At 41.5% G+C, this 27,406-nt stretch overlaps 1 long non-coding RNA gene across 1 annotated transcript, besides 1 other annotated feature; it reads right to left on the minus strand.

The window, feature by feature from the left end:
* Positions 1–119: 119 nt before the first annotated feature.
* LINC00309 (long intergenic non-protein coding RNA 309) lies at positions 120–20,527 on the minus strand. The gene is made up of 6 exons (NR_033837.1): positions 18,332–20,527; positions 18,035–18,130; positions 16,270–16,400; positions 7,398–7,500; positions 4,059–4,174; positions 120–784 (listed from the first exon to the last, which is right to left on the minus strand). It is a non-coding gene; the product is annotated as a long intergenic non-protein coding RNA 309 (long non-coding RNA).
* Positions 19,292–19,621: an enhancer, noted in NCBI's record as "active region_15884". NCBI's record gives its function as "activates an Ori minimal core promoter by ATAC-STARR-seq in GM12878 lymphoblastoid cells {active_cell/tissue: GM12878}" and the evidence as "EXISTENCE:reporter gene assay evidence [ECO:0000049][PMID:35858748]".
* Positions 20,528–27,406: the final 6,879 nt, after the last annotated feature.

A 27,406-nucleotide genomic window follows, 5' to 3' on the forward strand; every position in this document is an offset into this window, starting at 1 on the left:
AAATGTCTTTCAATCACTCACTGCTGTTGCAATCATATATAACAGAATCTGAGAAATATGCAACTTTGAGTATTTGGGAGTTTTTGAAACGGGGAGAGTAAATAGTATTAGAATGAATGTTTGAAGACCATATTCATTTTTATTTTAAACACTTATAGGAATAGTGATTTGGTAGAAAATTAATACATTTAATCAAGGCATGCAGAATGTACAGAGACTTTTTTTGTAACACTCATTACAGTGATGTAGTGGGAAAATATTCCTAAAGGCACAACTCAACTTCCAGAAGACATCTATAGCAATAGCAGCATCAAAAATGTATACAATTTATAAAATTTGGAAAATTTTCTGAAGATCTTAAGTAAAAAATTTAATATTAGTAAAGTTTTAGAAAGTATTTAGAAAATTTAATATTAGTAAAGTTTTTAGTAAAGTTTTTTAGAATAAATATAGAATAGGTGTTTGTTGGACTACATGAAGGATGAGGCATAAAATGCCCAATATATTCAGTCATTCAGAATCTGAGGCAGTATCCAGGGCTTAATTAGGAGTTCTGAAATTTCTTAAATCTATTAGTTCCATTAGTTATCCCAACACAAATGTCTAGAAAAGCTTCTACTAAAATATTCAGTTTGATTGTTGGAAGCTGTCATTACTGTTCTCTTTGAATGAAAATATTTAAAGGATTTGTTCTAGAAAATGCAATCCAGCCTGGAACTCTGTCTTCAAGGTGGGACTGACATGGCTAGTCCCTACAAGCTTCCATGATCCAAGTACAGATTTACTGTAGTAAAGAAAAATCTGAGTCAAATGTCTGAAGAACAGGGTGTGATTTAGCTAAAAGTGCCAATTTTGTTACAGCATGTTTGGAAAAGTTGCCCCCGAACCGGCTGTCATGAGTATTTCTTACATTAAAATAATTCCCACTGAACTTTTTGAAAGTAAATAGCTGGTATCCAAGAATCTCCCAAAATAAGCCATTGGAAAGTCTCATGAGGACAGGAATCTTTGTCTCTGGCTCTCACCATAAACCCATGTTGACTGTGAAATGAGAGGGAAATTATCTCTGCCACGGTTCAGCCATACCAGGAGTCTGGCTTTGTGTTTGTTCTTACATTTGAAAACTTTTCCTTAACAAGCTCTCAAATTCCTGGATGTTACATGAAACATTCTTCAAATAAGTTTTGGATGATAACCTTGATATGATCTAAGTTGTATGCAGCAAATATAAATCTCCAATATTATTATTGCATCTCCTAAAACTTCCCATGGATTTGAACTCTGGCAGAGATAAAGCAGACCCCAAAATGGTCTCAACTAGACAAATGTTGAATAGAACAATTGCTGCCTCCAGTTGCTCTTGACACAAGTATTTGGTGGGGTGGGGAGGAGGACAGGGTGTTGTTTGCTATTCATGCACAGGCTCTTTTCTTTTTCATTCTGCAGACAATGATAACTAATTAATACTGCAGGGTCCTCAAGGTAGGACACATGGGTCAGTTCCTCTGTACCTGGACTTCTAATCATCTCAGATAAGGAGAAAGAGGAAGGAGCAGTAGCCACCTGCCTTTAGTAGAAATGTTGCTTGGTTTTCTGGCAGGGCTCTGCCATTCCACTTTGGCTTGGGTATGGGGTGGGCAACTTCTCACCAAGAGGTCCTCAGGAAGAGAAAGTCTTGGGAGGAGGGGCAGCATGATAGATGAAACATCAGGTTGAAAAAGTCCAAGTATGTTCATCCTTGGTCTCATCTTTAATGTAAGCAGTTGAGAAATTAAGTTGCTCCTGCTGTGTTAGAGTGTCTCAGTTTCCCCAAATTTAGCCATCAGCAGAGAGCACATGTACATCCTAGGGGCTGCTGCTTGCAGCAGAAGATAATGCTTTTGCATGCATCTCTAAGCACAGCGTGAAATGAGTCCCTAGTGGGAGGAAGCATGACCAATGAGTGTCAGATGTTCAGGCTTTCTGTGTGACTCCAGTCAGGGGCAGGGCTGTGGGTAGGTTAAGACAGGGTTTAGGGAAAGAAAGGAATTTGAAGGCAACCAGAGCTCCAGCTTAACCAACCCCACAGTATAAAATGCATAAAGAGGCAAGTGGGAAGGAGGATGAAAGGGAGGCAGTGGGATAAAAGAGTGGGGGTTGGGGGTGGGGAAGATCTTTCCAAGCCATATATGAGAGCTCTTGTTTACTGGCCTGACCACTCACCAGCAGGGTGACCTTGGGCATGTTACTTAACTTTTCGGGGCCTCACTTTCCTCATTTGTATAATGAGGATGATAAGTCTACTTAGGTCATCAGATTTTTAATGAAGTCCAAATGAATACATGTAAAACATTCAGGTCTGTGCCTGGCAAATAGTAAGTGTTCAATAAACATTAGCCTTTAGTATCTGTGGCTCAGGCTTGCTCTTATGATGTGGTTTCATTAGTTTACCTACAGTTTGTACTAAAAGAAGGCTCTTTTGGAACATGCAGAGAGTGTTTTGCAATACCCAGAGAGGCTCTAGTGGGTATTACTTCATAGTTTGAATAAAATGTATGCTTGTTCAGGGAAAGCTTGGAGATCCTTAAGAAATGTCTTTAAGAAGGATTACACCTGCCACTAAGTGTAAATTATTTGTCTAATTCAGTGTTTCAAATAAAAAAAAAAACAATAGAAGAAAAGACTTTCCTTACATATGTACTCACTTGATAATATAATAGGACACTTAGGGTCTCCCTCTCTGATTTGCTCAAAAATAAAAAGGCAATTAAAGAACTTTACAAAACATTCAGTTTCAAAAAGAAAAAAAAAAACAACACTGAGGCTGTGCATATCTTGAGAGCAGTTCCTTTCTTCTGCAGGAATGCCTTCTCATTAGCTCTTAGTTCAGCCTGCATCTGGGAGTTGGGAGGGTGTTGGTTTGAAACAGACCTCTCTGTACAAATCTGCAAAGAGAGATGATCTAAAAACCCACCAGAAGGAGAAAGATGCTATGAGCTTCCAAATAACTACACGGTCAAGAACTCATAGGACCTGAAATTTGACATGTGATCAAGGCCAGCACAGGCTTTTGAGAAACACAGACAAAAGTTATTGTAAAGGTGATACATTAACTGGTTCAGTAAGAGACGGAGGGCAATACCATTTAAAAAATGTATTTTGGATTTATTAAATCATAAGGGAGTGAAGACTTACTTCCTTATGAGATAGCTAACCTGTTTAGGGTTAATCTTAGGTGTCTCCTTGCCAGAGTAGTCAAAAGAGTTGGTACAAGGTCATTTTAGATATAAACCAGAAATAGCATGGAGGCATAATTATTATATCAAAAATACAAATCACAGCAAACAAATTTTTCTAGAGACTCAGTTATGGTTTTGGTCAGGAAAAGAATCGTTGGCGTATTTTCACTGGAGTCTAGCTTCATAGGGTAACCTAGGGGCAGGACTAGTACTGAAGTTACTGGAAAGTCACTGTTATTTGGTGTTTCTTCTAAAGTCTGTCATTAATATGTCTCTGACAGAAATTAACTCTGCAAAAAGCGCTGTGGAGAACCTGGGTTTTAATCTAGGGTTTTGCAAGTTCATGCACCTGGCAGTGGCCTAAGGCGCAGAAGGACCAAACTGAGGTGGGTTGTTATTAAATTGTTTGCATTCAACCTTAGTTTTCTTCTTATTAAAAATGTTTTCAGGGCAAATAATTGCTAATGCTTCATAAATAGAAAAAAAAATAAAGTTACAAATCAAATTGCTGTAGTTCATAAGGAAGGAGAGAATTAAAAAGAAAAAGAAGTTGAACTCTTCATTTGAAAGTTTAGAGTCAGAACCTGGGAGCTTGGATCTTGCCATCAGTGACAGTGTGATCCTGAATAGATATGTTAGCTTCCCTACATAGGAAGCTGAGTAAGTAACAATCTTTCTGCTACACATTAGGAATACTTTGTGAACATTTCTACTGTGTTTACACAACACAAAATAAAGTGATTGCTGATTATTTAGTTTAGGTGATCGGTGAAGTTGGCAGAATCAGCCAAGACAAGCCTGAGATTCATTGTCCTTGACTTGTCTGCCTTGATTACTTACATGGGTCTTAATTAGCCAACAGATTGCAGACTTCCTTTCACTTTGTGCTCAGCAAATTTGACAGCAGAGTTGTTTTCCTCCCTAGTGGAAACGAGCAATATTTATATTGCTAGGGTCTAAAAGAAAATTTTTAAAGATGATTAAAAAACTAGAGAGTGGGAAATTTTAGTTTACTGAAACTCTGCTTTCTTGTTCCTTTCTCCCAAAGCGTACCTCCTCATTTCCTTGAGTCACCTGTTTCACTTCTAAACCAATGACTCTCAAATTTGAGGGAGGATCAGACTCACCTGGAGGCTGGGCCCCACCCCTAGAGTTTCTGATTCAGCGGGTCTGGGGTGGGACCTGAGAATTTGCATTTCCGACAAGTTCCCAGTGATGCCGCCGCTGCTGCTGGTCCAGGCACCACAGTTCAAGACCCACAGACGGAACTGGCCTCCTGTCAGTTTCTGAATCGCCCCCGTGGCCGTGGATCCACCCACAGCCTTCATCTCTGCCTTGGGCTCTTGCTTCCTTCACTGCCTGTCTCCACGTGGATCCCAGGCCTCCCTGGGAGCTCCCAGCTGGGAGGTAAGGTGCAGGAGGCCTAATTCCCCACACCCCCTCAAACACATAACTTATATGTTTTTAAATGAAAGGATAGAGAACAAAAGGGAATTACAAGCAGGAGTGAATAATTTGAAGCTGAAACTAAATATAATTGCTCTGGAACACTGTTCCTCAACCTTTTTTTTTTCCTTATCACCCTTCCCCCAAAGGAGACCTTTAGACATTTTTTTTTCCTAATTGTACTCCACCCCAACCTTTACTCCACTCATGAAATTTAAACTCCACAGATACACTGTATATTTGCTTATTTACTGTGGCCATTGGGAAGGCCACAAGCCATTATAATATCTAAGATTTTGTTCATCCACTGAGAACCAATATTTGCCCCCTTGGAGATGATAACATTCCTATTGACAAATGCATTTTCTAGTCTAGCAAGGTAAAATCAGTAAACAATGGGAACTGTTCATGGGTTCCTCTGTAGGCACACTGCCCTTCTCAACCTTGCTCCAATGTTACCAAGGCTTCTCTTGCCTCTTCTGTCTGAGAATGGCCTATTCTTCAATTTTCTTAGTGCTGCTTCTCTGCTGCTCTAGTTTTTAGAAAAACTCCATCCCATTCTTTTACCCTCAGGTCTAGAAAGTGATAGAGGAAGAATAAAGCCACCTAAGAGATCTACAACTCTCTGTTTTCCTTCTTAGTTCCTTACCAACTGACTTCAGGGATGAAACTCTGCCAAAGAGGGAAATTATATTAAAATCAGTACCAGATGCTTTCCTCCTTTTGTCTGACCAGGTAGTCTAATGATACCACAACAGCATTGCCCGAGGTCTGAGTTATTCAATCAAGAATAGCCCCATAGGGACTTTATCAGGACAGTCAATGGGAACCTCCAACCCTTCAGGAAAGGTCCCCTCAAGGTTTCTTCACTGCCGAGATGTGCAGAAGTTTCTCATTCTCCCTGCAAGCTTTGTAGGGGTGAATATGAGAACATCTCCTTCACCTCCCTCTCCCGACACACCCTCCCTCCCCACACACAGACACCACAAACACACACATGCAAGCATGCACAAAGAAAAAGCAACAATTCTCAGAGACTGAATAGAAACCTTTTTTTTTTTCCTAAATACAATTGGGAGTATTTGTCCAAATTCCTGTGCCCACAAGGGAGACAGACTTTTACATTTTTTTATGCAGAACACTTTCATTTCCTTTCTCCTGTTGCCAGATAATACCCTAACTCCTGCTGTGAGAAGCCCATTAGAACATCTTGACAAACAACAGAACCCTCTACCCCAACTAGAACTGGAGCTGGAAATTAGAGCTTTTTCTTCACTTGGGGTCATTATTTCCTTCAGTGAGCTCTAAAGTAGAAGAGGAAGCTTAGGCCTTGTTAGCCTGCTGCCCACAGTAAACACCTGGAGAGATAATGGCAGGTGGTGTGCTAGGAAAGTATTGTGCTGCTAGTCACATTTTTTAAAAAATGGAAGTCTGTTTTATTAGGATGGTATATGTACTTTTGTGCCTCTTCTAAATGGAAAAATGGAAGAAATATCACTTAATTCATTGGATAAGATCTTATATCTAGCACAGTTGATGGATTACCAGCCAAGACTCAAAAGAGGCAGATGGCAAATGCTTGGGCTGAAAATCATATCTCTAGCAGATCGGAAACGGTGGCTCTATTACAATAACGTCAACCTGCCATGTTAGTGACTCCTACTTCCAGGCCTAGGAAAGATGTTAAAGGTATCCTAATTGAGCTTGCTCATCTATACTGAGGAGTGAGATCCAGAGGGGCATAACATGGTTTGTCCAGGGTCAGCCAGGTGAAACGGAAAAGAGCCAGAGCTCAAAACTAAGATCTGATTCCTACCTGGGTGGATCCTTCCTTCCTTTCTTTTTCTTTTTCTTTCTTTCCTTCCTTTCTTTCTTTCTTTCTTTCTTTCTTTCTTTCTTTCTTTCTTTCTTTCTTTCTTTCTTTCTTTCTCTCTCTCTTTCTTTCTCTTTCTCTCTTTCTCCCTTTCTCTCTTTCTCCCTTTCTCTCTCTCTCTTCTTTCTTTCTCTCTCTCTCTTTCACAGGGTCTTTCTTGCTCTGTTGCCCAGACTGGAGTGCAGTGGTGAGATCTCAGCCTTCTGCAACCTCTCCCTCTTGGGCTCAAGCGATCCTCCCACCTCAGCCTCCCAAGTAGCTGGGACTACAGGCACACACCAATTATGCTCGGCTAATTTTTTTCTTTATTTTTTGCAGAGATGGGGTTTTGCTATGTTGCCCAGGCTACTGGATGGTTCTTTCTACCACACCAGGACACTTCCTCCATTTCCTTCTTCCTTTGTGGTAAAGTCAGGATTATGGTTTCTTCACAGATATTGCTGAGATGTGTTAAATCTACAACAGAAAAATCTGAAAGGTCTGTCTGGGTTTAGGCTCCAATTTCCTGAAGAATTAAAAGAAGCAGGATGACCTTTTTGGCTTATGAATTGGAGTGGGGGTAGGAGAGACCAAAAAGGAGACCCGGAAGTTTAGGACAGCTTTCCTATGTTTTCAAGAGCCTCAGAGTGAGAACCCCAAAACATCTTCCTATGGCTGCCGTATGGCCAACATGAAAACTAAGTAAGGAAAAAAGGAAGCTAGGGGTGAGGGCAGGACAGATTTCCCTTTCCTTCTCGAGTTCCTCTTCTAGCATGTGAAACTCTAGAAGCAAGATTCAATGACATCAGCATCTTTGGTGAAAAGGCAGACAGAAGTGGAGGGGTTACGAGAGAGGAATTAGCGACCTTGACGTGCCTGACCTAATGAATGCAGCGTAGGCATCCCACAGCTTTCTTAGTGGAAGCACCATCTGAAGGTGGACTCAGTTGCAGGGTATGAGCCCAGATTAAGCTGTAACTTGACCTAATTCAAAATAAAAAAATAGTAAGCTTTGATTATGTGCCAGGTAAGTGTTGTAGGAAATAGAAAGACAAATATGACATGGATTCTGATTTCAAGGGATTTATTATTATCTAGGAGACAGAGAGAGAGCTGTATACAAACTACAAAGATACAAGACAGAATGTGACTGTGCTATTAAAAAGTTAAAAACAAAGTTCTCTGGAAGCCTGAGGCTATGGCTGCAAATGAGCTCTTAGCCAGTATCCTGTGCATTTGGGCCACTATCAGATGTTAGAGAAGGCAGAAGTGAAGGGCCTATGCTAGGGAGTAGGTGGAAGTAGTTGGGGGATTTGATGATAGAGAGGTTTTCCGTTGACTGAAGAAGCAGCTACTTCTAAGTAGTCATTTGTCATCATCGAGGTCAATTTTCAATTTTAGTTTATGTATTTGCATTCCTAGTTTTGGTGAAATCCCTCTTCCTACTCACAAATTTGTGCTTGTAAATGACCAGTTGTTCTTTTCACTTGGGCAGTTAAGCAACAAAAGGATTGCATGTGCAAATTCAGGGGTTTGGAGACAAACACAACGGTGCGGTGTTAGTGGTTGCGTAACTCCAAACTGGGAAATGGAAAAACTAAGAGACAACTGTGAAAATCATTACTAACGTTTTCTTTCTGAACTATCAAGAAATAAAATTATTTATTTGGTTTTTGGAACATGATAGATGGGGTAGAAAGTTTCCTTAGGCAAAGGACATGGTGATTTTCTTTTCTTCTTTTTTTTTGAGATGGAGTTTTGCTTTTGTTGCCCAGGCTGGAGTGCAATGGCGCGATCTTGGCTCACCGCAACCTCCGCCTCCTGGATTCAAGTGATTCTCCTGCCTCAGCCTCCCAAGTAGCTGGGATTACAGGCATGCACCACCACGCCCGCCTAATTTTGTATTTTTAGTAGAGATGGGGTTTCTCCATGTTGGTCAGGCTGGTCTCAAACTCCCGACCTCAGGTGATCCGCCTGCCTCAGCCTCCCAAAGTGCTGGGATTACAGGTGTGAATCACTGCACCTGGCCAGGACATGGTGATTTTCTAAGTCGCTTATGCCTTGTTATTTGACTCAGTAGGGTCTACATTAAAAATGAAAAAATACAACAACAACAAAAACCCAAATCACAAGATCTGGAATATTTTTGGCCATTCCATTTCAGTATAAATGGGTCTAGAAATAAAACCTAGGCACACCCCGGATAGCGAGTTTGAGGTTTTGTATGGCAGAGATGGCCAATGATTCATCAAAACTTTACCCTCCTCTTTTCATAGTGGAGTTATTGCTGGGAGGTGGCTTCTAAGATGGAGGCTACATTTTTTAGCATGTCCTACCTTCCTGACTCCTTGCATCCAGGTGGTCATCGATAAAATGTGACAGAAGGTGTGCATGTCTCTTTTTCTAGGCCCAGACTTTTAAGAAATGAGTGGGGGCATCTTCATTTTCTCTTCCCCATCTGCTGGCTGAATGCAGATGGGTGGAACCACACGATGGAAATAGCCTGGGTTTTTTAATAATCACATGAAGGAAAGCTGCCTACAAACCAGGCACACTTGCATTGAAGTATTACGTGAATGAGAAACAGAATTCTAGTTTTAGGTAAATTTTATCTGCTACCTGTAGAGCTACAGGGGTCTTCTGTGGTGAGCTTCTCTGGAGGAAGAGCATCCTTCCTGTCCACTGATGTTGGGCTTGGTCATCTGACGTGCTTTGGCTAGTGGAATGTGAGCAGACGTGATGTAGACCACATTCCAGCAGAAGCTTCAAGAGCTATTGCATGATTCCACCATGATCCTTTCTCCTGTTCTAGAACAGCATTTAGCCTGGATCCCATATACAGAAGGGACATTTAGGCTGGATCCCAGATAAAGAAGACAAGTGGAGCAGAGGAGCGACTGACACGTAGCTAACATATTCCATAGCAAAACATAAACCTTTGCGGTTGATATGGGGATTGCTTGTCACAGGAGAATAACCTAGCAAAAGCTGACCAACAGATTGTGCTAAACCACTGACATTTTAATAGTTATCTAGGCTAGCATTTGGTGTTACCCTACCAAACTAGAAGGATTAAGTGTGTGGTAAACTGGGAAGTGGGTAACAGTGAACAAGATATCATAAAACATTTCTGTTTTAAAGTACAATTAAATGCAAAATACTCTAATGGAATTAAAAGTCATAGTAAACCAGCCTGAGCAACATGGCGAGACCCTATCTCTACAAAAAAACACAAAAAATTTAGCCAAGTGTGGTGGCACACACCTGTAGTCCCAGGTACTCAGGAGGATGAGGTGGGAGGATCACTTGAGCCCAGGAGGTTGAGGCTGCAGTGAACCCTGATTGTGCTACTGCACTCCAGCCTGGGCAATAAGTGTGACCTTGTCTCAAAAAAATTATTAAATATTAATTGACAAATCACAACCTGGTAAAACGGCAGACCAATAAATTCATTTTCAAACACAAATTGAATAATGCAACATTAAGGTAATGGACCACTCTCTGGCTCCATGGAGCTATCTGACTTCTGCCAATTGAAAGTTCTTGGCAGAATCTGAAGAGGTGGGTGGATTGATGCCTAAACATAGAGATGATCCTATAAAGATTCCTCTGTTTCTGCAACCCCAGTACAACCTGACTCTGCCCACAACTCCCTTCATGGAATGTCATAGGAGAAGGATACCAGAAGGGTACAGATAGGGTGATGCAACAAAGATGCATTTAAACTTGTCATTTTTGCACAAGACTGAAACCTTCACAGGGACTAACTATTGAAGAAAAGGGCAGGGTCATTTTGGAGCTCCAGGACACCTGGAGATGGCATACCTGGTGAGTGTCTGGAGATGGGATGTGGGAAGGGGTAGAAAGAAAAGCTTGTGATGGAACCAAAGTGATACAACTGCCCAGAGGCCCTAATCAGCTGATACCTGGGGACCTTGGGCAGGTTACTCTTGTCCCTCACTTGATCAACAGGATGGTTATGAATAAGAGATGAGTAATTTTAAATATAATTTAAAAATGTTGTCATAAGAAAAAAAAATGAAAATATGCTCCGCTGGTTGAAAAAAAGTCTGTTGTATTGTTTTCTTTTTTCCTTTATTTCATTATGACCAGGGAATTTATTTCCACAAACAATAAGTTTATAAAAAATAGTGAAGACATAAAAATAGTTATTCATAAGCTAGAGAATAATAATGTCCTTGGTGATGTCTGATTGAGTTGCAGAAGGCATGAGTTTGCCACCAACAGCTCAGTCACCTCCATGCTCTCCACCACAGGAATGTGGGATGAGGGGGTCTTGTCATACGCGGTGCTACCCAGCTCTTTTAAAAATCTGGTTGGCTCTGTCACATCATACTCTGGCTGTGGTTTCCCTTGGGTGACACTGACCATTCATTCAACATATTCCATTTGGCAGATATCTTCCATTTTTACCCTAGTGACAGTCTTTTACAATTACTTAACTTGGCAGCCTCTTTGCGATGTTAATGGTTGTTTTCTAAACAGGAAAGGTGGATGGTGACAAGGACCTGGCTTAGCTCCTCACTGCATATCATATCACATCCCATTTTGGCTGATCATCGAAAACACTCCCGAACCATGCCATCAGCTCCAAAGTTTATTTGAAGAAATTTATATGGAAAGTTAACTATATTACTACGAGACTAGTCTTAATTTCTTCCTTGTTTTATTAAGAAATTAAATGTATGAAAATTAGGAGGTTAGTGTATCATGGGAGTTGAAACCGTGGCAGCAGCATGTAAAGTCTATGTCTGGGAATGGTTGAGGCCAAGAGTCAGACCGTGCAATGCTTAGTATTGCGGATTTCAGGGAATAAAACGGATATAAAGACAACTAGGCTGCCAGGCACAGTGGCTGACTCCTATAATCCCAGCACTTTGGGAGGCCAAGACAGGTGGATCACTTGAGGTCAGGAGTTCGAGACCAGCCTGGCCAGCATGGTGAAACCCTGTCTCTTCTAAAGAAAACCACAAAAATTAGCCAGGCAAGGTGGCAGGTATCTGTAATCACAACTACTCAGGAGGCGGAGGCACGAAAATCATTTGAGGCTCAGGCACGAAAATTGCTTGAACTCGGGAGGTGGAGGTTGCAGTGAGCCTAGATTGCCACTGCACTCCAGCCTGAGCGATAAGTGAGACTCTGTCTGAAAAGAAAAAAAAAAGATAACTAGGCAATAGTTTTGCCCCTTTCTTTCTGTTCTTTCACTTGTAAGGTAGTTAATAAAGTCCATTTAGTTACTACCAAAAATGCATTTAAAAGTGTTAAACTACAGCCAAAGATTTATTCTTTTAAAATGCATTGAAATGTTTTAAAATACAGCAAAAGATTTATTTTTTTTTAAATACCAAATATTGGTGTCAACATAGCACAATTATTGTAATTCAAACTTTGGATTTTGTTGGAAGTGTTTTTGCATTCGTATTACTATTATGTACTTCCAGCCTGACCTTTCTCTTTTCCTAGAAGAGCAAATTGGAGTTAGAGGTGAGGGAAGTGGCAAAACAGGAGGCTATAAAATTGATGAACAGCCTGTAGGGACGCAAGAAACTAAATATTGATCTTTGTTCTTTCAGTGAGGACTCTTGCGTTTCTAAGGATGTCATTACAGCCATGGCAGTATGGGTTCATCCGATCTGCTATTCAGCTGTGGTTGCTCTCGGCATTGAAAGGACGCTTTGTTCATGGGGTCAGCTGATGACCAGGGAGTTTTCTAAAGTGAGACTTACAGTGAGAAAATTCCTCTCCAGGTGTTATGTGAGATATTTGGGGTATGTAGGACTGTGAGGTAAGGAATACAGTTTGCTTTAAAAAATGACACAACTAAAAAAAATGGCATAGCTTATACATTCAAATTAGTGCTATTCTTCCAGGAATCATAGTGGGAGATATGAACTTATCCTAGTAAAGACACCATTTTGCAAAGCATTTTGGAACTCTTTATCTTAGAGTTGCCTTCAGAACCAAGGTTAGGGTCTGCAGACCACTCGGGACTAAATACTTAGTGTTTTACTTCAATTTTTAGCCACGACACAGAAGGTTGATTAGTTATTTTTCTCCCTTCTAGATTTAACTCCAAATAACTTGGGGTATTTAAAAAAATTAAATCTATTCATTTACTCCTTCATCCATAGATTCATTTTTTCAATAAGTACTCATTGAATGCCCCTGCATGTCAGGCTCTGTGTTAGAAGTTGAGGATTCTGTGATGCATAAGACAGATACAGTTCCTGCTCTCTTGGAGCTGATATAATAAGAAAGACAGACCAAAACCACCCCCGCCACAACATCTAACAAACAAATTAATAAAACACTTCAGAGTTGGGATAAGAGGTATGAAGGCAACAGATAAGGGACTGAGCTAGAGAAATAACAAGAAGAGAAATGTAGGCTGGGTTGGAATGGGAATGGTGACATTTAAGCACAAATTCAACCTTAAAGGAGGTATCTTTGCCACCACTGGGAGTGTTTACAGGAATAAACTTTAATTTTGAAGGACAAATTTCTCCATTGTGTAGATATCTTTCTTTCTTTGCAACTGAGACGGAGTCTCGCTCTGTCGCCCAGGCTAGAGTGCAGTGGTGCTATCTCGGCTCACTGCATGCTCCTCCTCCCGGGTTCATGCCATTCTCCTGCCTCAGCCACCTGAGTAGCTGGGACTACAGGCGCCCGCCACCATGCCTGGCTAATTTTTTGTATTTTTAGTAGAGACGGGGTTTCACTGTGTTAGCCAGGATGGCTAACCTCCTGACCTCGTGATCTGCCTGCCTCGGCCTCCCAAAGTGCTGGGATTACAGGTGTGAGCCACTGCGCCCGGCCTGGGGTGACATTTTGAAGCTATGTGAATTTCCTGTTTTCTGACAACATTTTAATGCCAAAAGATTTACCCAGTTTCATAGCGACTAAGTCACAGAACCGTGACTGTGGTAGGAAGCAATATCTCCTATTCTCAGTCTCATGCACTTCCACCCGGCCACACTTGTCCCATTCATAGTACATGGACATTTCAGGAGAGGTTTGGAGAAGTCAGGGTGCTAAGAAAATCTAGGTGCTATTTAGACCTTTATAGTTTATTAAATGAATTGAATAAGAAAAGTTTCATTAGAAGTTCTCATTTTGTGGGAAATAATTAGATTTCCCTTGATGTGGCTAAAGAATAAATGGCAATACTACTAGATAAGTAAATTATTGCTATTGTTACTCAAAAGAAACAGATGTATGGCCAAGTTTCCTGCCCCCAAATATTCTTAAAGAAGTTGGATCCTGTTTCCTTTGCTGTTTGTCACTTTGAATGCCAGTGTAGATGTACTGGATAAAGACTCCGCTGGGCATGAGTAAAAATATCTTTCTTTAGAATCATTAACCATAACTTTATATCAAGTGGATTAATGTTCACTTTTATTTTTTAAACCAGGCCAGATGTGGTGGCTCATGCCTGTAATCCCAGCACTTTGGGAGGCCAAGGTGGGTGGATCACTTGAGATCAGATCGAGACTAGCCCGGCCAACTTGGGGAAACCCTGTCTCTAATAAAAATACAAAAAATTAGTTGGGCTTGGTGGTGTGCACCTGTAGTCCCAGCTTCTCAGGAGGCTGAGGCACGAGAATTGCTTGAACCTGGGAGGTGGAGGTTGCAGTGAGCCGAGATCATGCCATTGCACTCCAGTCTGGGTGACAGAGCAAGACCTTGTCAAAAAAAGAAAAAAACCACACACACACGGTGGTGGCTTTTAGGTGAATCAAATCCCTTTTACTGAGACTTTCTAACCCTTAGGAGCTGTCCCAAAGACTTCCTGTGGCAATGTAGTCTGTGGGGTAATTGTATTAGGATAATAGGGTTGAAACATATCATAATTTAATGAGTTTGTGGTTTTCTTACTCCCAGAATTAAAAAGAACCTCTATGAATGTCAAATTTAGTAATTATCAAACTGAACAGACTTTGGCTCTATTTAACCAACGGGCACATAGTCTGTAGATAACAGCATGATTTGGTATTTATAAAGAGCCTATTCCCCCTGCTCCTACCCTTAGACACCAGAAATTCATTAAATGTAAAGCCTTACATAATTCTGTAAATAAACTCACTTATCTGGAATGTTCCTAGCCTCTAAATTAGGTATTAAAGAAGAGATATCATTCTTTTGGGACAGGCCTTCGGCTTTCCCTAAAATGTAGTGGCTAGGTATGGCCCAGAATACAAACTGGCTAGAGTTTGATGGAATTTAATGAATAACAACAACAACAATAATAAAACGCCAGGTCTCCTTGGTGTGAGAGCAATAAACAATTAAATTCTTGGGAAAGAGATGAAAATAGGATCTAGTCCTTAAGTGGCCTAAGGCCTAGCAGATTCCTTCTGGCCTTAGGTTACATACATTTGGGTTGATTTGGATTAGAAACATGAAAGTACAAATTTTGCCTTTAATTACATATTTTTTTCAGTAGTACTCTTGCTAAATGTCCAAAGAAATATAGAGCTAGACAATAATAATAGCTTAGATTCATGTCGCAAGTGTTTTACATGGATATCTTTTAACCCTCACAAATAACCCCAGAAGGGATACTATTATTATTTTCCCCTTTGAAAGATAAAGAAACTGGGATCCAGATATGCTAGGCAACATCCTGTAGAATAATCTGGCTGCAAACCCAAACAAACAGAATGACTGCAGAGTCTGAGATGATAAGGACAGGTAATACCATCTCCCAAACTCTGCTGCCTCTCCACTAAGGGGTAGCAGATTGATAGCAAGACCTTTTCATAGGAGGATCACTAAGTGCTTTGCTTGAATGTAATGATAACTTCCCCCAGCAATCCTTTGGTGTGGTTTATAGTTTTGTTTTGTTTTTGAGACAGAATCTCTCTCTGTCACCCAGGCTGGAGTGCAGTGGCGTGATCTCGGCTCACTGCAACCTCCACCTCCCATGTTCAAGCGATTCTCCTGCCTCAGCCTCCCAAGTAGCTGGGATTAAAGACATGCTCCACCACGCCCAGCTATTTTTTTTGTATTTTTTGTAGAGATGGGGTTTTGGTATGTTGGCCAGGGTGGTCTCAAACTCCTGGCCTCAAGTGATCTGCCTGCCTTGGCTTCCCAAAGTGCTGGGATTCCAGGTATGAGCCACCGTACCTGGCAGACTGGAGTGCAGTGATGCCATCTCGGCTCACTGCAACCTCTGTGTCCCAAGTTCAAGGGATTCTCATACCTCAGCCTCCCGAGTAGCTGGGATTACAGGTGTGAGCCACTGCACCCTGCCTGGTGTGGTTTAAAAACCAAGAACTAGGCTGGATGTGGTGGCTCATGTCTGTAATCCCAGCACTTTGGGAGGCCAAGGTGGGCGGATCACTTGAGGTCAGAAATTTGAGACCAGCCTAGCCAACATGAGGAAATCCTGTCTCTACTAAAAATACAAAAAAAAAAAAAAAAAAAAAAAAAAAAAAAAAAAAAAAAATTAGCTGGGCGTGGTGGTGAGCACCTGTAATCCCAGCTTCCTGGGAGGCTGAGGCAGGAGAGTCACTTGAACCCAGGAGGCAGAGGTAGCAGTGAGCCAAGATCACGCCACTGCACTCCAGCCTGGGTAACAGAGTGAGACTCCATCTAAAAACAAAACAAAACAAACGAACAAATGAACAAAACCAAGAACTGACTAGAGGCCCATCAAATGGAAAAATGATTTGTGTTAAGGCACTCCTTGCAAAACTGGCAGATAGGGGCAGAAAGAGAAGAGGCTCTTACCTTCACTTCTGGGACTTCGCCAATGGCCAGTGCTCTTCTGAACTCCACATAGTGAAAGACAAATAGCATTCTTTCCAGTCAGTGTGCTCATTTGCTACTCCTTCTGCATTTCTCCCTAGGGGCCAAAATTCCTGGCAAAGAAAAATAAAACCAGGATCATAGCCATAGAAATCAGATTATAAAATTGCTTCCTATCTGAATTCATATTCTAACCTTTCTTTAGTGCTTTCATAAACCCCTCCCAGACTGATAGAATTATCTTTTTTATGACTCATGGATATATTTTACTTTGCCATTTTTATCCTCTTTACTTTGAGGGAGAAGATCAGATGATGAAGAAGATTCACCCTGTAGTGCTACATAAGATTTTATTTTACCCTAACATGTGGACTATGGACCTAAAAAAAGAAATATGTTCAGCTTAGTATTATGTATAAGAAATACTTTTCAAAGTTTTACAAAAACATAATCCAATGATAAATTTTATTCATTTAAAAAGCATTTGTTGAATTCTTTCTAGGTGTCAAGCACTGCAGTAGATTCTGAAGATACAAAAATAAATAAAACATTCCTGCCCTCAAGACACTTACACTCTTATGTGTAACACTGTGTGACCATTCATCTGGGCCTTCCTGAGACAGTCTTGGTTTACACCTGTTTTCCCAATGTAAGTATAAATAGCAACCCCTTTCACTCTCAAGTGTTCCTTTTTAGATGATAAATTATATATACCCTAGTAATAATATTTCCCACTAGATGATGTTTTTAAAATACTTGTAATTCTTGGATATAAATAAAAAGTACAAACAGCGAAGGACCAAAAATGTACTTGACACTCTGTCTTCATTTTGGAATCACTATTTCTGTCACTGAGCGTCAGTTTAAGTCAGTTCATTGGGAAAATGTGAACTTGGTTCACATTATTTTTGTTGTGGTTTTACATTATTTTACAAAATGCAGCTGCTGTCCAATCTCTATAGGGAGGAAGAAATGAATGGCTAGAAAACTTAAGAAGATGAGAGAATACTGCAATAAATGGAGATCAGAGTATGTATCATATCATATACTCAACTCCAGTTTTGGTACAGGCCAAAGATGAATAGGGCACAGAGGTCTTTAAGGGCAAAAGCAGTGTCAGGTAGAGCAGCCAAAGCAATGGCTGAAGGCAGTTGTTGTCAAGGACCTCTGATCTTAGAACTCAATGTGGCATGTGGCTTTCCCTCAGACTCTGGTTTCTATTCCATTTCTAAAAACACCCAACTCAATGGTTTTTAAAACTATCCGCAATGTACTTTTGTGAAAGGTTGGTGTTTGCAGAACTTCTCATTACACATCATTCTATGTACTGTTGTCTGAATATGTATACGTATGTATTTTGATATTGAAGACAGACTATTTTTAGTTTCCTTTGGATATGTTTGGAGAAACTCCTAACTGTTGCTATGCTGCTATGGAAACGGTATCCACGTATACTGACATGTTTACAATTGCTTAAAACACTATAAACTTTCCAGGGCAAAGGCAAACAGCTTACTTCTATCAAAGTTGCTCCATGCTTTCCTTTTTTTATTAGTTTATTTATTACTCTCAGCCCCATGTTGGAATCTGTTTCATCTGTGCCTGCATTAAAGAGATTTTTTTTTTTTGCTGACCCACATATTCGTTTAATTGATTTCACATTCACAACTATAGTGGCGCTGAAAGCCAGTGAAAAATTTTCCCCGAAATAAAAAATATTCCTTGTTAGGAATTAAGAATTGAATACCTGCTATTTTCCCAGAAGAAAAATGGAAAGAATACTTCTTGAGAGTATGTTGACAGTCTGTCTAGAATTTTCAAGTGTAGGAGACTTTGAAAGTAGCTTAAATGTAACGATTGTAATTACTATTTGTGTATACAAAATGAATTTAAGGACTATTCTAATTGCTAGGAAACATGCAAACCTAAAAAGGAGGTTTATTGCTTTTTTTCAAGCATAGGAAAAACTAGGTGGCTGAGAATCTTTACAATTTTTGGAGAAAAGAATCTTAACAAAACCACAGGAATGAAAGTGAATAAGAACCTGTTTGTTTGAAGACATCAGAAAAGTGGTTTTTGTCAGGGCTGTTTTCTAGGAGTCAAAAAATATTTGAAAGTAGAATCTATAATTGTGACTCATACAGCAGTGGGTCCTGATTACATAAAAAAGGCACACACGCTCTAGTAGAGCATATTTTTTAATAGAATTTTAAACCCAGAGTACTTTCTCCTTTAAAATCTCTTTTCCAAAATTTGATACCTATTTTGCGTAAGTGTACAGTAAAACAAATTTAGGCTGTCATGATGGAGTCTACTTTCCTCTCTCTTCTACTGAAATCTCCTTTTTGTCATCTTCTTGAAATGGTCATTTTAAGTCACACATAAAAAAACAAAACAAAACAGCAAATAGAAGTTTTATGGGAATGGAAATGATTCACGGAGAGCTGGTTGCAGCAGGGAACTGGGCCTCGCTTGCATCTGGAGATCAGGGCTCTGTAGAGCCAGTACTTGCCCCTGACCCAGCCCCCTTTCCAGCAGTGTTTATATGCTTTCTCTGCTTCAGCTGATCAGAGGATATTCCATTCTAAGCCTTTCATGGGACAATGTTTATGTGATTTTTTTTTTCTTCTTCTTTGTGGGGAGGATTCCTCCCTGCCTCTTGGAGCTTAGCAGCACTAAGAAATGTCATCCTAAGGTCACATTTAGATTAAAACCCAGTAAAACCTGATGGACTTGTTATAGCAAGTGACTGTGAGGGACACTCACAGTATGATGACTGTGGCTTGCTAGTCTACCATGGGGACAGGAATGAGGGTGGGTCACAGGAGGTCCTAACGGGGAGGCAAATCTGCTTTAGCAGCAGCTCGTTTCAAGAGGCTGGGTGTTGCGGCATTAATTCTCCTGGGTTGGGAGCCTGGGCAGGGTGGGTGTCAAGTGGCTCTGGCAACTGGACCCCTTCGGGGTTGCCCTCAGGATCAGGATGAAAAGGGGGAAGTCAGGCTGGAGCAGCAGCGCGGTTCACGCAGAGAGCACCCCAGGCAGCCACGAACTGGCTTGCTCCGTTCAGATTTCTCTTAAACAGCAGTTTTCCGTTTCTGTTCTATGGCCTCTGAGGGAATTTCCCAAATTAACCTTCACTAAGCTTTCCTGAGGGACTGTTTTTGAGCGCTGATGGGGGAATTTCCCCCTTTTGACCACACTGTTGCCCGGAGACTTGTTGCTGCTCTTCATCTGGGGATTTTCTCACTGGCATTTTGCTACTTCCTGTTTCCCAAGAGTCTCTGCTCTCTGGGAACTGAAGATTTATCAAGAGAAGGGGACAAACAGCCTTTAGGAAAAAGGGGAGGAGGGTGTATTTAATACAGTGGTGCTTTTCTTCCCCTCCTTTAGTTCTTTGCTACAGTAACATTGGATTTGAAAATCAGGCCCAGGGAGCTTGCTGAGAGCTTCGGATTGATTACGCTAAACATTCCACAGGAACTTGAGTTGTACGGTGTAATCACAAATCACATAAATGATTGTTTTATTAGAATATCTATCCTCTATTTGGGATGGATAGAAACCCCTGTGTTAAAAGAAACCACTAAAGAAATCATTACTCCTTTTACTTAGTGAAAATGCACTACCACTTGTTGAATGTTTCCTGTGTGTCAGCCATGGCACTGGGGCTTTGCATACATTTCTCGTCTGATGCTAGCAACAACCTGGAGGAGTAGGGCTTATTCAGACTCATTTAATAGATGAGCGAACCAAGCCTCGAAGAGGCTCTGAGAGGTTAACTGACAACCACATTTTCCCGGCTGGTATTAAGCAAAGCTCCAATTCTGTGGATTCCTAAAGCCTATGCTCATATTTACTCAGCTATAAATTTGTATTGAACTGGGGATTTGTTTCATGGGTCTCTTAGGTGCTATTACCAGGAAAGCAGCAGGAGAGACCCCGAGAAGAAGCAGATCCCCAAAACCAGAGGTGAAAATATTTTAGGGAGCAGTATTGATAGTCCTTGGCTTAACCCTGTGCACTTGCCAGGCCCTTTTGCCATGTCACCTGGAAAAAGCTGCTGACTTGAAAGGTGACAGGAATAAATATATTTAAAAAGCTTCAATTGAACGAATTCATTAGTTCTTTCTCTTAGAGAAACTTTCCACCTAACCACTGCTGTCACCTTGCTACTTCCTACCCTAGCTTTGTACATTTTATCAAGGGTATTAGAAATAATTCCCCTGGGGACAGGTCCCAGAATCTCTCTGGCCCTGCTCTGTGGAAGTTGACATCTAGAGAAAATAATGTTCTGGAATTGCTCTACCTCCTTGACTCTTGATGCTCTTAAGCCAGATGAGTGTCTGTGCATGCATGTGTGCACGTGTGTCTGTGTTCTTGTGGTATGAGGTTCTTGGGGGATGGATTATTAGCCACAGTTGACCTTTGCAAAGTTCTCCAAGTATTAAATATTTTCACTTCCACTGGAGGAGTGATCAGCATACACGAGGGGGTGCTGGAAGCAGCTTGGGGAGTGACCTGGCTGTTCCTGGGAGTTCCTGAGGAAAGGGGGTGCAAAATCTGCATTGGTGCCCCCTGCTTCCTGCACACTTTGCAGCAGCTCTTCCTCTCCAGGGTTTGTCTAGGAGGGCTCCTAGCTGTATTGTCTTCATCCACATAGTGAACTCTGATAACCACCAAATGTTGAGAGTTGACTAGTTGCCTAATAGTTTACCTGCATTGACTTAACTTGATCCTCACCCATGAAGGTAGGCAAAATGATTCCGTTTAAAACAAAACAAAACAAAAACAGTGAGAAGACCAAGGCCCTGGAAGGTTAAAATGGCCCAAACCTACCGGCCGGGCGCGGTGGCTCACGCCTATAATCCCAGCACTTTGGGAGGCCGAGGCGGGCGGATCACGAGGTCAGGAGATCGAGACCTTCCTGGCTAACACAGTGAAACCCCGTCTCTACTAAAAATACAAAAAATTAGCCGGGCGTGGTGGCGGGCGCCTGTAGTCCCAGCTACCCGTGAGGCTGAGGCAGGAGAATGGCGTGAACCTGGGAGGTGGAGCTTGCAGTGAGCCGAGATCACGCCACTGCACTCCAGCCTGGGTGACAGAGTGAGACTCCGTCTTGAAAAAACAAACAAACAAACAAACAAACAAAAAATGGCCCAAACTACCTAACTAGTAAGTCAAGGGGTTGAGATTCAAATATTGGTGGGTCTGATTCATAGCTGTAGCTTTATTATGGCCAGGGGTGGGTGAGTGGAGTAAATCTTATTTATTTTTTAATCACTAGGAAACTATATCCTAGCCTTGAAGTTGCAAATATACAGGCTGTTATCATTTCAAATAATCAGGTGGTAGAAAGAGAGCAAGATTCTAATCAGCACAATGCCCAGGCCAGGGAAGGAACGTGGCGCGACCCAGAGGACCCTGGCTTGACCAAAAGTGGTATTTGGAAAAGGGGGCACCGATCCTCTTTTGTGCTAAAGGGGACATGGTTTTCTTATCTTCACTGTTTCCAAGGCATCTTCTTAGTGGTGGCTCTGCAACTAGAGAGGGCTAAACAAGCAACGCCAGGTTTAGGCTTTCATCCCATTGTGCTTGAGAAAAAAACAAGTCTTCCCAAATCTAGTACTTTACAACACTTCATAATTAAGCAGCCAAGAATCTGTCTTTCAGTGTTTGTGCCCAGTCACTGGTACACATTATAATCAAAATCCCTTTTCCCTTCAAAGCAGAGCATCACTGCCTTTCCCACTATTCTCCTGCAGAAGAGCAGGGGAAGGAAGCACCAGGGTCCATCATGGAGGTAAGAGAAAAGTTCTGCTTCCCATGCCCACTATGATGTATGCCTCTCATGTATCACATGGGGTCCAGGCTGAAAGATGTAATGTGCAAGAACCTCGAGAAAAGCACAGCTGTGTCTTGGTGGAAAGAAAGGCACTTCTATCAGGAGTCTGTCCAAGTTCTAATCGTTACCCTTCTCTCCAAGTGCCACATCTTAATCAATTTCAATCCCTTGAATGTTGTCCCTGTTCATTTTGTGCTGCTATAACAGAATACCTGAGACTGGGTATTTTATAAAGAACAGGTTTCTTTCAGTTCTGGAGGCTGGGAAGTACAGGGTCAGGGGCCTGCACCGGGCAAGAGCCTGTGTTTTGTGTTATCCTATAGCAGAAGGCAGAAGAGCAAGACAGTGTGAGAAGGAGAGAGGGTGAGGAAGGGGGCCTGTCTCTTAAAGTCATCTCTTAAAGATCTCACTCCTCAATGCTGTTGGGTAGGGGATTAAGTTTCCAACACATGAACTTTATGGGACACGTTCAAACCATAACAAACATAAAAATCAAACCAAACCATACAAAAATACTCTGAAAATATTTTTTCTTTTCAAATTAGAAATGACATCATGTAGGTTTCTTCATGGCCTATGGAAAATGGTGTGGTGGCACATCCTGGTATATGGGAGTTTGGCAACAAACAGAATTACCCTCTTCAAATTCTATCAGACCACAGGTAGATTAGGGGAATTTTCTAGTTCATTGCTACCTGTGTACCAAGAACAACTGGTTCAGAGGGCTCTGGCTTGGTGTGACAGGGGAAACCCATACTGCTAAAATAAGCTCTTACTGCATGAAATCTGGCTCTAGAAAAATCTTGCACTACTACTGACTCAAAATTTATTTATTTATTTATTTATTAGAGACAGACTTTCACTCCATCGCCCAGGCTGAAGTGCAGTGGCACCATCTTGGCTCACTTCAACCTCTGCCTCCGGGGTTCAAGCGAGTTTCCTGCCTCAGCCTCTTGAGTAGCTGGGACTACAGGCACCCGCCACCATGCCCAGCTAATTTTTCTATTTTTAGTAGAGTCAGGTTTCACCATATTGTCCAGGCTGGTCTCGAACTCCAGACCTCAAGTGATCTGCCTGCCTGGGCCTCCCAAATTGCTGGAATTATAGGTGTGAGCCACTGTGCCCAGGCTCTGACCCAAAATTTATCATCACTTTCTTCAATTTCTATTCCTATGGATCAAAATGTAAGATGGAGCCAAATGTCCAGTGGCAAGTTAACGTATTATTTGAACTTAATACAATTCTTGATTGCTTCATTCCTTAATTTTTCTTAAAAGACAAAATATTTCATTCTTTTAAATAGTTCTTGTTCTTAACCCTGATGGTCATGGGCAAAGATCCTTATTTTCCAGTGGATGAGAGGGAACCCTTTATATTTTTGATCATAGATATGGTTTATGTGCTCATCCACACTCTTGCTCCCCGTATCCATCAACTCTTTGACTGTGTTGTTGCAGGTGCATTGGGTTGTTTGGTCCTGGAACTTCTCCAACTTGCAGGTCACCAGGGCCTGAGGATGCAGCTTTCCCTGCAGTACTTTTTCTGCTGCATGGAGGCATTGTTGCCCCCATGGTAGCCAGCGCTGCATGGGAGCAGGAGGCCCTGCATCCTCCTCATGTTCTGTCTTTCTGCCACATCCTAGACCCAACCCTGCGCAGTACCTGTCTCTCCAGTGCCCAGATGAACTCAGGAGGGCATGCCTCCCCCTTCATCGGCACTTCCTGGGCCATCACTGTCATTGCAGGTCTCAAAACTAGTGTTCTTAACCATTCTGCTATATTATATTACAATTGGAATGTTGCTAACACAGACATAAGTTTCACACAGAGATTAGCAATACATTCTTTTCCATAGTATATTAAACATAATTTCAACATTTATTCTTGCACAAGGAAACTACTTATACAGCTAGGTGAGGAATGATCTGTGTCAGTGAAAGGCATAAGATAGAACATGTTCTTTTTACTTAGAGATGATCTTTACTATGATTGTGGGTGCAATAAATGTTATCTCTTTTGGAGGATATTTTCAGAGCTATTTAAATTAAATCAGATTTTTAAAATGCAAGTTTCAGGATATTACCAGTGATTTAGATACCATGATATGGCTTAGGTATAGTTTGAATAAAGAGCAAAATAGCAAAAAATTCCTGCTGTTCTCACCTCTCCAAAAAAGAAAAGTCTTAAAAACAAACAAACACACATGCACCTTTGGGTTTGAAGTTAGCCTTTGTTATTAGCACAAAACACCAAAATTACAGTCAAAATTAGTCACTGGAGTTATATCTGACTTTTAAGACATGCTTCCTCCTCTGTCTTTATCTTCCTCACACCCACAGCACCCACATACCAACTCACTGCCTTTCCCCATCGTACAGTATTATTGGAAGTAAGACATTGGATGCTAAGAGCTGCAAGGTCTTGGGTATAAGTGGCAAAGGTTGCTGTGCTTATGCTTCACAAGGTGCTCTTGCTGAGATAAATGGTAGCATTTTGAGAAGGATGGGAGTGAAGATCCTAAAACATATATCAATTTGAGAAGGCCTCTTTTGCTCTTTTCTTTCTTTCTCTTTCTTTCTTTCTTTCTTTCTTTCTTTCTTTCTTTCTTTCTTTCTTTCTTTCTTTCTTTCTTTCGTTCTTTCTTTCTTTCTTTCTTTTTCTTTCCTTCCTTCCTTCTTTCTTTTTCTTCTTTCTTTCTTTTTCTTTCTTTCTCTCTCTCTCTCTTCTTTTCTTTCTTCTTTCTTTTTTTCCGAGATGAAATCTCGATCTGTCACCCAGGCTGGAGTCCAGTGGCATTCTCAGCTCACTGCAACCTCCACCTTCCAGGTTCAAGCGATTCTCCTGACTCAGCCTCCCGAGTAGCTGGGATTACAGGCGCATGCCAAGACGCCTGGCTAATTTTTGTGTTTTTAGTAGAGACAAGGTTTCACCATGTTGGCCAGGCTGGTCTCAAACTCCTGACCTCAAGTGATCTGCCCTCCTCGGCCTCCCAAAGTGTTGGGATTACAGGCGTGAGCCACTGTGTCTGGCCTGCACAGTTTCTTCTATAATGGAGATGATATTATAATCTCTAAAAAGACCTTGTACAGAAAAGAAAATTCATAGTTTGTTAATTCCATTGTAAATTGTTAATTTTCCAATAATGTTCTAGTAATTACATAGTATTTAGTAGACACTTATTAGACATGTTTGCCTGTCTGAAAAAATAGGACATTCATTTAGCAAGTATTAATTTTACATACTAATGCCTAACAAAAACACTTAAGAAAAATGGGGCTACAGCCCCAATTCTTTGCATCTCCTTTTGAAAGCAGAATTTTTCTAAATGGTTATCGATATTTGCTGCCTCTAATTTCTCTCTTTTTATCACCTCTTAATCTTTCTTCAGACAAGTTTTTCTCCCATGAATCCTCTACTGAAGCTTGTCTTTTCAAAGTCACCAATGACTTACACTTTTCTTTTGTTTTTTTGAGACAGATTCTCATTCTGTCACCCAGGCTGGACTGCAGTGGCACGATCTCGGCTCACTGCAACTTCCACCTCCCGGGTTCAGGTGATTCTCCTGCCTCAGCCTCCCAAGAAGCTCGGATTACAGGCATGCGCCACCACGCCCAGCTAATTTTTGTATGTTTTTGTAGACAGGGTTTCACCATATTGGCCAGGCTGGTCTCAAACTCCTGGCCTCAAGCAATCTGCCTACCTTGGCCTCCCAAAGGGCTGGGAGTTCAGGTGTGAGCCACTGTGCCTGGCCTGACCTACACTTTTCTAAGCCCATTGCTCGCTTCTCAGGCAACATCTGAGGTGTGTGTCAGTAGCATCCGACACAGTGATGACTGACTTGTCTCTGAAACAGCTTCTTTACTTGGCTTCCAGCACACACCCTTTCTTTATTTTCCTCCTCCTCACTTCCTTCTGAGACTCCTTTGCTGGTCCCGCCTTTTCCCTCTGACCTCATAATCTTAGTCCTGTTCTCTTCCTTACTCACCTTCTTGGTGATCTCACCTGGTTTCATAGCCTTAAATATCATCAGAAGCTGCCAAATGTGCACCTCCAGCTCAGATTTCTCTCCTGAACTCCAGAGCTTTATCCAGCTGCCTGCTTCATATATCAAACTTAACAAGTCCAAACTTGGACTTCTGTTCTTCCCTTTGAAGTTGGCTCCACTCCCAGTCTGCACCCCATCCGTCGATGGTGACTCTATTCAAAACCTTTCGAGTCTTTCTGGACTCCTCTTTCTTTTTTTCTTTTTTCACATCCGAATCTTGTTGGCTTCCTCTTCAAAATATATCCCACATCCAACCACTTCTCACTACCTCCGCTGCTACCAATCTGTTCCAAGCCATTGTCATCTCTCTCTTGGATGATCACATTCACTTCCTCACAAGTCTCTCCACTTCTACCCTTGCCACACTGTGGGATTTGGTCAGAGAGATGCTTCAGATGTGTAGGTTCATCGTATCACGCCTCTGCTGGAAAACTCACAATAGTGCCCTCTTTCATTCAGAGTAAATACAAGTCCTTACAAAGGCCTACACCACTCAGATGACCAACTCTTCATTACCTCTTTGGCTTCATCTCCTGCTAACCTCACCTTCACTCATTCCATGCCAGCCACACTGGTCTCCTGACTGTTCCTCAAACACTCCAGCTATGTCTGTTCCTCAAATGCCCCAGCTATGTCTGTTCCCTCAGACGGGGATACTTTCCCCCACAGCACATGACCCACCCCTCATCCTCATCACCTGTTCACTCAGTTCTCACCTTCTCAGCAAGGCCTCCCCTGCTGCCTAGCTGAAACTGAACTTGCCTTCCCTCTCCACAGCTGGCACTCCTGATGCCTTACCCTGGTCTAACATTTCCTTTTCCCAAAGCATTTATCGCATGTAATATCCTACTGAAATTACTTACTTATTGTGTTTATAGTTTGTTTTATGTCTTCTACCTAGAATGTAACCTCTATAAAGACAGAGATCTTTTGTTGTTGTTGTTCACTGATGTATTCTAAGCACCAGATCAATGTCTGCCACATGGTAGGAAATCAGTAAATATGCTTGAATAAATGAAAGTTCAGAACTTCAGAGACAGGAACGACAAAAATGAGAAAAGTCTATAAAAATCATATCTGTGGGCCCAGCATGCGGGCTCATGCCTATAATCCCTGTGCTTTGGGAGCCCGAGACAGGAAGATTGCTTGAGTCCAGGAATTTGAGACCAGCCTGGGCAACATAGTGAGACCTCATCTCTACCAAAAAATAAAATTAAATTAAAATAAAATAAA

This window comes from Homo sapiens, chromosome 2, assembly GCF_000001405.40.
Source record: "Homo sapiens chromosome 2, GRCh38.p14 Primary Assembly".
NCBI lineage: Eukaryota > Metazoa > Chordata > Mammalia > Primates > Hominidae > Homo > Homo sapiens.